The sequence below is a fragment of the Homo sapiens genome, chromosome 6, assembly GCF_000001405.40.
Source record: "Homo sapiens chromosome 6, GRCh38.p14 Primary Assembly".
Lineage (NCBI taxonomy): Eukaryota > Metazoa > Chordata > Mammalia > Primates > Hominidae > Homo > Homo sapiens.
Genome location: NC_000006.12, coordinates 75,200,947 through 75,210,872, shown reverse-complemented (window position 1 = coordinate 75,210,872; position 9,926 = coordinate 75,200,947). Strand labels below are relative to the sequence as shown.

At 49.6% G+C, this 9,926-nt stretch overlaps 1 protein-coding gene across 9 annotated transcripts in view, besides 1 other annotated feature; it reads left to right on the top strand.

Moving 5' to 3' along the window:
* Nucleotides 1,646-1,851: a silencer, noted in NCBI's record as "fragment chr6:75918738-75918943 (GRCh37/hg19 assembly coordinates)". NCBI's record gives its function as "represses an EF-1alpha promoter that drives an FKBP-Casp9 reporter gene in an ReSE screen in K562 erythroleukemia cells {active_cell/tissue: K562}" and the evidence as "EXISTENCE:reporter gene assay evidence [ECO:0000049][PMID:32094911]".
* Nucleotides 4,820-9,926, top strand: part of COL12A1 (collagen type XII alpha 1 chain) — a 121,728-nt gene continuing 116,621 nt past the window's right edge. For 7 of the 9 annotated variants that reach the window (NM_001424116.1, NM_080645.3, XM_011535435.2 and 4 more), the window contains exons 1-2: nt 4,820-5,096; nt 8,046-8,153. In NM_001424116.1, the coding sequence (NP_001411045.1) occupies nt 8,081-8,153 (73 nt within the window). In that variant the 5' untranslated portion in view covers nt 4,820-5,096; nt 8,046-8,080. Of the gene's footprint in view, nt 5,097-5,533; nt 5,861-8,045; nt 8,154-9,926 lie in introns of those variants that run through there. The other 2 variants (XM_047418186.1, XM_047418184.1) reach the window with 1 other exon arrangement.

Sequence of the window (9,926 nt, the reverse complement as noted above, 5' to 3'; positions counted from 1 at the left end):
CCTACACAGGAGCTCCTACTGAGAGCAATGAAACGTCTTTTGACTATGATTTCATTATTACCGCATTTCAATCTACTAGGTAATTAGTTTAAAAGCCAAGACCAAATCTTGAAAAATAGATTCCCGTGATTCTTCACATTTTCCATCAATCTGAAAGTGTATTTAAGTATACATATATGACTGCTGACACACAGAACAGTGGCCTGACTAGAAATTCTCCACCTTATGCTACTTTGATGGTTCCAAAGCAAATAGATTGCAAGATGCCTGTGGTGGTGTGATTTAAAAGTACTGAATTTTATGGAAACAAAGGAAGAAGTGGCAGCGGTTTGTTTTCTTAGCTCTTAAGTTAATTCATTTCCTTTTATCTTCTACTTTTTGCTCAAGGAGGTCAGAGCTAACTGGAAAATCAACTCCCAGTAGTACTTGACTTTTATTAAATCTGAATGATTTATCCTGAGACGTTATTTTATGTGGATACCGTGTTTTTTGAACACGTGTGTGCAACCACAGCTTTTTTTTTTTTTTACAATCAGCTTTTTTAGGTTGAAGCAATTATAGTTTTTTGAGGTCATATGAGGTTTGAGCTACCAGTTTGCATAGTAAGAGAAATATGATGCAGTTTCTGCTTTCTGCTCCAAAGTTGCTCATTCGCTAGTAGGGGAGGTTATTTCGGTACAGGTGAGATGGTCTGGGTGAAGTACTTGCAAAGTCCTTTGTAAAGAAGCAGAACTTGTCAAAGAGGCAAGAATGCAGCACGTCCCCTTCCTTCCTTTCAGGGTGGTTTGGTCTCAGGATTCCTAAGCTTTGCTAGTGCAGAGAGGGTGGTTGTCTAAGGCGTCTCATTTTTAATGTTACAACATGCTGAGTGCACGACCTTGGGAGATTTAAATAGGCCACACACATGAAGTTGCTTCAGGTGTCCCAGCTGTTACTTGACAGAATTTTGAGGGCAAGGCCTTGTCTTACTTATCTTCATATCAGCTACTCTGAGCTTGGCACTGTAAATAGACGGTGCTCATTAAATGTATGTTGACTTGAGTTGCACACAGGGATGGAAAGAAGAGGATTCAGACACACAGTTTTTGACTCTTGCTGGTCAGGTTGTCTCTCCGCTTCTGAGAATCAGAGCAGGTGGTGCACTACCTCCTCTCCTCACCCTTTTATTCCAAGGGGCTTGTGAGAGCTTTCTTCACTCAAGACCCTCACAGTTCACACTGGGGCCAGCCTTAAGAGATAGGCAAATGCTGCACGTTCAGACGAGGTTTCCCCTTCCTTCTGCACAAATCAGCCAGAACCTGCAACGGAAGTGTTCTAGAAACTGTCTCACCTGTTGCCAGGAATGCCGGCTAAATTGACCTCAAACAAATCAGTGAAGAGGCCCCCATTGCCTTTGAAGAAGTTAAGATTACAGAAGTTAAGGGCACTCTGTAATATTAACTTCTTCCTGAAATCAATATCTCTTCCCTTGTAAACTCACCCTTTCTTTGAAGAAACTTGAGGAGAGCCTAGAAGCCTTGGGGCAGGAATTTCTGTAAGCAGCTAATTAAACGGCATGAAGAAAGTTGATGCCCTTCTCCTCACTCGTTCTCCCACCCTGCCGCCTCTCAGCCCTGAGAATCAAATACATGAATGAGACTTTTTTTTAAAAACTCACCCCAAGACTTGTAAACTTGTCAACAACTTCCCAGCTCTACGTTCTCTGTTAACTTTAACCTCTGACGCCGGGTTAGCGCTGACCACTAGATAGCGCTGTCGGACAAGAAATCTGAGGGCTCGGAACCGCCGGGAGCCCAGGACTCAGAGGGTGAAGAGGTGGGAGCTGAACAGAGGAAGCGCGAAGGAGGCAGAGCCCGTGATATCGCCTGAGGACTAAAAGCCACAGGGAGCTACCAAACGGAATAAATCCAACTGGCTCTTCCCCAGTCAATAAATATCACCAACGGATTCCAAAGGGTATTAGGAACTGGATGCACCATTGAAAGGGGAAGGATGGAAGAGGGTTACCCGTTCTTTACCGTTTATCACACTAGGAGTCTAGCGTAAAGGCCCCAGGGGACCAAAATGCCAACGTCATGCTGGGAGGTCCCCGGATTGCCTCTTTGTACACATTTGAATTACACTCGTGTCCCCGGGGAATGAGTGTACTTGAATTAGTTTCTGGAGGAGTCTGTGTAGTCCCCAACCCGGGAGTCCTCTCCTTCCTGTTCCTCTCATCCTACTCTGGAAGTTTTGCCTAAGGATCCTTTTTGTTGAGCTAGAAAGGAAGTTTGCAGGTGGTGGTTTGTGTTACCTACACTCCTTTGCAGCAACTATTTTCAGATACGTTAAATCTAAGTATGTGAACAAGAATGCCTCAGCAAGAGAAGATGCCCACGAGGGTCCCCAGCACGCTGCTCTTGGCTGGAGAGGGCAATGTGCACGCCCTTGGGGACAGATGCCTCTTCCACCCAGTCTGCGGCCTCCAGCCGCAGGAAAGGGAAGCCCGTGACTGTCTTTGGATCCCCGGAGGGTGACTGCTCAACTCCGGGGTTGATAGATGCATTGGCAGCTCGGAGCCAAATCAACAAGAGTTCTCTCTTTTAAACAACAACAACAAATCAACATTCAGTGTTACATGCTCCTCAGTCAACAACTCCGCCATCACACACACACACACACACACACACACACACACACACACACACACACACACACACACACAGAGAGAGAGAGAGAGAGAGAGAGAGAGAGAGAGAGAGAGAGAGAACATCTGGGCCGAAATACAAACACCAGCCAGCTTGGGCTGGCGTGCAAAGTAGCAGTTTTCCTTTTCCCTTTCTGGACGGGGTGTCGTTGTCCGGGGGCTTCCCTGGCCGTTTCAGGCAGCGGAGCAGGCCAAGGGCGCAGCCCTACTGGGTGCCCGCTTGGCGGCCTGAGGGACTTCTCTGTTCTCGGGCTCGGTCTTTGAGGCTGCCACCAGTCCACGCGCGGTCTGCAAGCCTGGTTGGACTGGGCTCCCTGCTCTTTGTGTGTTGGGTGGGGAGGCGAGTGAAGGGTTAGCTTGGGTGCAGACGCCAGCTGTCGACAAATTCGGGGCTCAGTGATACCAGGGCAATGTGGTTGCAAGCCTGATTGGGCGCAACGTTGAGAAGGTCGGGTGTTTCATCCCTGGGACGCGCTCACTCACTAGGGGTTTGTCAGACACTCTGGTTGTGAGGATTTGAAGGGGGAAAATCTTGTGTACTGTGTAGGCTCTTTGTGCGAGCTGCCCAGCTGGACTTCGAGTGGGCTGTGTGGTTGGGGAATGTGCAGAGGCGGCGATTCCTATTTGTCTTCATTGTCTCCCTCTTGTCTTCTCTCTTGCTTTCGCCGGCTTCTGCTGGAGGCAGCCTGTGTGTGGGGAGATGTGCAGAAAGGGGAGCGCCCTACAAGTTCTTGTCAGTCGAAAGGCAAGTTTGGAGGCTATCACGCCTAGTGGAGAGGGAAGGCCAAATTTGCAGACGTCAGAGCCAATGGGGAAGAGAGATTTACATTGGGAACATGCCCTCCGATTCTACTATGGCGGGCGGTTAGTTCCAGAGAAGCAGCTCCTCTGTTCCCTTGCGCCCCACCCCGGTCCTTTGTTGTTCAACGCTCCCCCAGCGTTACAGGAGTAACCTTTGGGCTTCAAGAGGCCAAAACGGTGCAGGGCCTATACTGAGGTCAGACGTTATAATCAGAATCTCTCCAGTAGCATTTTTCTGATTTCTTGGTGTGAGCGCTCGAAGCTTCCTCCCGTGCGCCTTGTACAATCTGGCAACCCTGAGTACCAGACTCCCTGCCCAGGAACAAGGGGTAGGATGCCAGGATGGAGGGGGCTGTAAGAAGAGGCGACGTTGTTGGTAGAATATCAGCCCCCTATTTGGCTTCTCCAGTACTGTGTGTGGAGGGGTGCTTTGGGGTTTCAAACTTACTCCTCTTCGCCCCTTTGGCTCCGCGAGGTTTTAAGGGCAGAGCTTTCAGTCCGAAGCCTCCGCTCGGGGCCAGGTTTTGCTCTGGTCCGGGTGAGAAGTTTCTGCAGTGGATGCAACTTGTTACTGAGCGGCTTCCTATTCTGAGAACTCCTGGGTTTCATAGGTTTCCTCTCCCTCTCTTTTGGCTCAACTTAAGCCTCCCAGTTCCGTCCTGAAGCACCAGGGGAGTGAGAAAGGACTGGGAAAGCCATCCCATCACTGAGCCCCGCGCGGGCGGCTGTCCGGGTTTCCAATCGCGCTTGGAGATTGAAAAAGACAGAAGGCGCGCCGCGTGTACAGACAGTTAGTTAATGGAAATCCTGTAAATCGGTTTTAAGTGCACCCAGGACAGAGGGGGAGGAAGATGGAGGTGGTGATATCAGATGAAGGATGGAGATCCGCAGGAGCGGGGGTGAATGGGTTACGCATCCTTGCATTTCCGAAAATGGGAGTCGGTCCCCTCCCCATTGTTCTTAATGTAGAAAAATTCATTAAAGAAATCTCAGGGATAGGGAAACCCGAGCTTCATTAAAGAAATCCCAGTCCGCCCCAAGTGGCGGAGTACGCGGCTTCCCTTGGCAGGGAACCCGGCTGCGGCTGTCCCCCTCTACGCTCCCTCCCTTCTCCCCGCCCCCCAGCGGGGCACTGCTACTACGGCGATCGCCACCTCACGCCGAAGGAATGCTCGAAGTATGCACACGTTCCCAAAAGTAGACCTCCTTCACCGCCGGAGGAGCATACATCACCCCGTGGCAGCCGTCCACCTTCTCAGGCGTTTCGTAACCGAGTAAACTGAGAGCTGGGAACAGCCCTCTATTAAGTAGCCCGCGGCGCGGAGTCTCTTTCCACTTGGCTAAGGCGAACCGCCCCAGACGCGTCCGCGCGCCGGCAGCTGCAGGCTCAGGCCATCTCCAGTCTTCCTGCCGCGCCCGCCTCTCCTCCTGGGATTCTCCTCCTCCTCCTGGACTTCCCCGCAGCTGCCCACGCCTCGGCGGCCGCCAGGTGCTCCTGGAGTGCAGCGCCTATCGCCGGGGCGTGTGGGGGCCACACCGAGCACCAGCTTCTCCGACGCCGGGAAGCCGCTGTCGCCGCCGCTACCTCTCCCTGTTGCCGCCGCCTCAGGTCAGCCTGGTTTCTGTCCCCTTTCCCCTACCCCCATCATTCCCAGAGACAACTCGGGAAACGGCGTCTAGCTTGCACCTTGCCCGGAGCGGTGAAGAATCCTGGGCGAGGACAGTTTGGACTTGTAATAGTGTAGGTGGGCTAGAGCGTTGCCTTGTATACTGGGATTTGGTGATTCTTTGGGGTTTTTGAGGGAGAGGGGAATGTTGCTTTTCTTAAGAGCTGAGCAAGGTTTTGTGCACGCAAAGCATCCCGTTCAGTGTTTCCGTTTCTAGAGGAGTTTCATCTGTAGATGCTGTCGATTTCAATGGAGGGCGCGCCGGGTTCTGGGGCAGCAGGGCCCTGGTTATCTCGCGGCTGTGGCTTTGTCGGGGAGGGCAGGCGTGCGGCGGGGGCGCTGGGAAGGTATTTTGGTGACGCACGGTGCGGAATTCTTTGGAGGGCCCGCTGAGTGCTCTGCAGCTCGTCGAGGCTGCACGGGTGTGTGTGGCATCTCGTAACAGATTCCTAGTGGAGTGTTCTGGCTCCTTCCTCCCCTACCTTTCAGAGCATCCGAGATGGTGGGTTAGGCAGCACTAGGGTACTCATTCTTGGCGGACTTTTCCCAGCTCCGGGAGAAAGTCCCCTCTCCGACTCCCTCCCGGTGCATTGGTGGAGGCCCTATTCGGGGTCTGTGAGATCTCCGCGGCGGTTTCCCACTCAGATCCTAGACTTGTGGGGATCAGAAAGCGTGGGTCGCCGGACTCGTTCAGCGAGCGGAACAGGTACCCCCAAGCGGGCGACCTCGGGAGCCCTTCAGTGACCAGTTCAGGGCTCCCTGGGACTCTGGGCCAGGGAGACTCTCGATCCGGACTCTGTAGTCTTCTAGTGAATGCTGGGGAAGGATAGGGCAGGAAAGGAAATAAACGCTAAGCTCTCCTTTGGCTAATGCCAAGGTCGTGGTGGGTGGGAGAGGAGGTAGGCGACGCGCACGCGGTGTGTGTGTGTGTGTGTGATTTTCTTTTTAACTGGACGCGGGAGTTAAGGAATTGGGTTCTTCCAGCAGGGAATTGGGAGGGGGCGAGTTGGCAGAAGGGGACGAGTCCACTTAGCCCCCACTCCCACCCCAGTGGACTCATTTTTATTCATGAGGGTGAAGTGAGGGAGTCCTCGCTGCCACGTAGGGGCGGCCGCTTTCAGATATTTATGTCTGAGAATGCTCAATGAAGTGTTGCTAAGCATTCAAATGAATGTTTTGGCTAAAAAGGAGAGAAAGCATTTTCTTTTTTAAAACATATATTGACGGGATGCTTGGCTGGCTGGCGTTCCGATATCCCGGCGCGAGATGATTCATTCTTGCAGCTAAGTCGGGAAAGCGACAGGTGGCGATCGAGACCCAGCAAAAGTGTTACCACTCAGGTTTTCGTTGAGTTCAGCTGTTAAAAAAAAATCTGCGCACAGCTTTTCGGTGGGTCGATTGTTCGCCTTTAACTTCTCGCGAGCACGACTGCCAACTGAGTTGGAAATTATTATACCAAAGTTAAGGCAAGATGATTGGAACAATGGGCCAGTCTCACCTCTTGCTTTTCACTGATGTAGAAGAGGGTTAGAAATGTCAAACAGTTGTTAATTAGGAAGAAAGAAATTGCTAGACCCCTTAGATACTTAGGGCAGTGCCAAAATTTTAATCTTGGCTTCATAAAAAGGAGCTCCAGGCAATTTGGCACGCCTGCTCATCAGACATTTAAAATGCAATTTACACACAGGCTGAGGAAAGCTGCCCTCATGCTTTGTGCCAATAATTTGGAAAGTCATCGTTGGAGATTGTCAGTTTCTTTTCTCAAAGAGGCCTCGACCTTTGGCTCATTTTTGCATTCCGACGCAGGACAGTCTCCTATCCCCCTCCATTTTTCCTGAGGCCTAGGCTGTTGGCTTACAATAAATTATGTACTTCAGAGTCAACTCTTTTTATGTTTTGCCACTGGCAACTTCCCAGTTCAGTTCCTTGCTAGTAGCTTTTGTCTTTGGGTTGAACCCTAGACTATTTTAGGAGATTCCATTCTGTAGACATGGGTTAAGTACCTACTGTGTGCTGGGAAACCACAAAGATGAATAAGATTCTTTGTCTTTAAGGAATTCATAATGTAATTACAAAATTAGAAAAAATCGGAACAGAACATATTCTCCTCTGGGGTATGTATACTAATAATCTTCCAGCTTAAATAAACAGTTAAATACAAAGATTATTATTGATAATTTTTATTTAAAAACACGTTGGAAAAACAGACAAGGGTGTCTTGCTTCTTCCATTTTGCTGCCTTATTTGTTATTATGTATTTTGGAGTTGTTTTTCCCTCATCTCAGGTAAAGGATTTATCAGATGTGAAAACAACACAGTTAGCAGGAGGGTCAGGTTTCAGCTGGGCCTTACATATTTCTGTATAATCCATTTCAGATCTTAAAGAGCTGCATATTTGAAAGCAGAACAAAATGAAGAAAAAAGAGAATTAAAAAGGTTTATTATACTTTTCCAAATTACCCTGAGACCACTAAAGTACAGTTACCTAAAGAGTTCATCAGCTAGGAAAAAAGCAGTCAAATAAAATCCCCAGCTGGAAGAGATATTTAGTTGAGTGAGGGATAAAATGACCTCTGAATTAGCCATTACCCAGGCAGGATGAAGTCATGTGAGGGCTGGTAAAGGCCTTCACCCGGGATGCTAAGCAGGACCAGTCTCCAGGAGAACAGGACCCTTTTTAAACTTGAACTTCCTCCTAGGGCCATGATTAAACTTCTGTAGACGAACTTGACTTCCACTGCTTCACAATAGGCCCATTATGTGCTGGAGTAGGCCCTGTGGTTTTTAAGGCAGATCTGGTCGGGTTCTGGACTAGGTCCAGGCTCCAGTTCTAACCTGGTTCAAGGCCTGCCCAGACCCAGTTCTGATGCAGTCACTACTTCCTCCCGCAGATCTCTTCATGCCGCTGTAAGCTCGGAGGCCAAGGATGCGGAGTAGGCTTCCCCCAGCGCTTGCCGCCCTGGGCGCGGCCCTGCTCCTGTCTTCCATTGAGGCAGAAGGTAAAAGGCTCCCTTCCCCTTCACCGAGTGACAATGCAAAATTCGAGAAAGGAAAAAACACATCTTTCTTGCTTCTATTGCTTGCTCTGTTTTCCCTGCGCTTCGTGCTTTCTCCGGTGGTTTCTCTCCTTCAGAGAAACGCCCCTTTCTCCTGAGGTTTGTCCATTTCCCAGCTCTCAGGTCCAGCTCTTTCGTATTCTGCTTAATGCATTCCGTACAGTGCTGTGTGGTCTTCTTGAGCTTGTCTCTGCGGTGTGCTGTCCACACTGCCACCTGCACTGCCGCCTAATAAGAGGACCAGCCGCCCGAGAGGGGGCGACGGCTCTAATCAGCGCAACCAACAGGACACCTCCGGGTGGCACCCAGGAGCCCCGAAGAGCGGGCGCACTCGCTCGCTTGGCTGGTAACCAACCACCTGGCTCGGGGCTGCGACCTCGGTGACAGAACACAATAAAAGACTCCAACAGCGCTGGCTCTGCGCCTCTGTGTGCTTTGTGGGGAGCTCAGTCGGCGGGGCGGACGGTGCGGGCAGATGAGCCAGCAGCCAAGCAGCCTGGGGGATGATGGCAGGCAAGCGGAGATCCGGGACCCCAGGTGTTCGCACGACCTAGGGTCGCGGCTGTCCCTGTTGGTTAGCAGGGCTCCAAGGCGCGTGGCCTGGACTGGTCCAGCTCAGACAGGTTGAGCCTGGGCCAAGGTTTCCAGCCTGGGAAGCAAGCGCGCGCCGGAGTTGCTGGGCACCACCTCCAGTGTCCTGCCCTTGCTCCATCCTGCCTCCCTCAGGGACAGCCGGGTGCGTCGGACCTTCCCGCGGAGGCAGTGGGGCGCTCCGAGATGGGTTTCCAAAACGGCGCCGTGTGGCCCCTCCTCTAGAAAATGGAGGGCTTTTGTTAGATGTCCCACCCAATTTTATTTGTTGTGTGCACTTGATGTCTTAATTTCTCAGTGTTCATTAAACAAGCCATTTCAATATGTCAACCCCATGGCGGCTTCTGTGGCCCCTCAGTTGTCACTGGAGACCTGACAAATTAGTTTTCTTATTCTGCAAAGAAAATGGGGTAATGTCATGAAAGATATCTTTTTTTTTTTTCAGTAAAGAAATACCCCTGATGAAGTTAAGGGAGGAAAAAAAACACTTCTGCCAAGTGACAGCTGTGGAAGTTCTGGGTTGAGGTGTGCTTTTTTAGAGGCTGTGAGAAAGTATGGTTGTTTGCATGATTATGCCAAGGTTTTCAAGGTTTCTATAGTGTTGGATTTTCTACTTCAAGACTACAGGTAAAAAAAAAATTAGGGGAAGCAGAGTGTTTCCAAAATGTATGGCATGTTAAGAAAAGTGACAGAAACTTGCTGACTTTTCTTAGCTGATGAATATTTTATGAATGTAGAGGCTTTTCAGAGTGGCCTCTGTGAAGTAATAGTCAGATGAAGTTGCTTTTAATGTTCCTTTCTATGTCGTTGTTAGGAAGGAATTTTATTTGAGGAACTTCTGGAGGCCCTACTACAGATATTTTTAGATAATTCACTGAAGTGGCCCATTTATTGCTCATTAAGAAAATAGTTATTTGAAAATCAGAAAGAGTTGAGAATTCTTAGAAAAAGAGTTAGGCTGGAAATGATGTAAGTGGAAAAAATTGATTCTGAATTAGATATTGGCTGGTTAGCAAAGTGCAGTTAGAAAGAACAGCTTACTATCTACATTTCTGATTATTCCCATATTATATTTTATCTTTTAAATTTGTATTTATTTCCATATGGTACAGCTCTTTTTTTTTT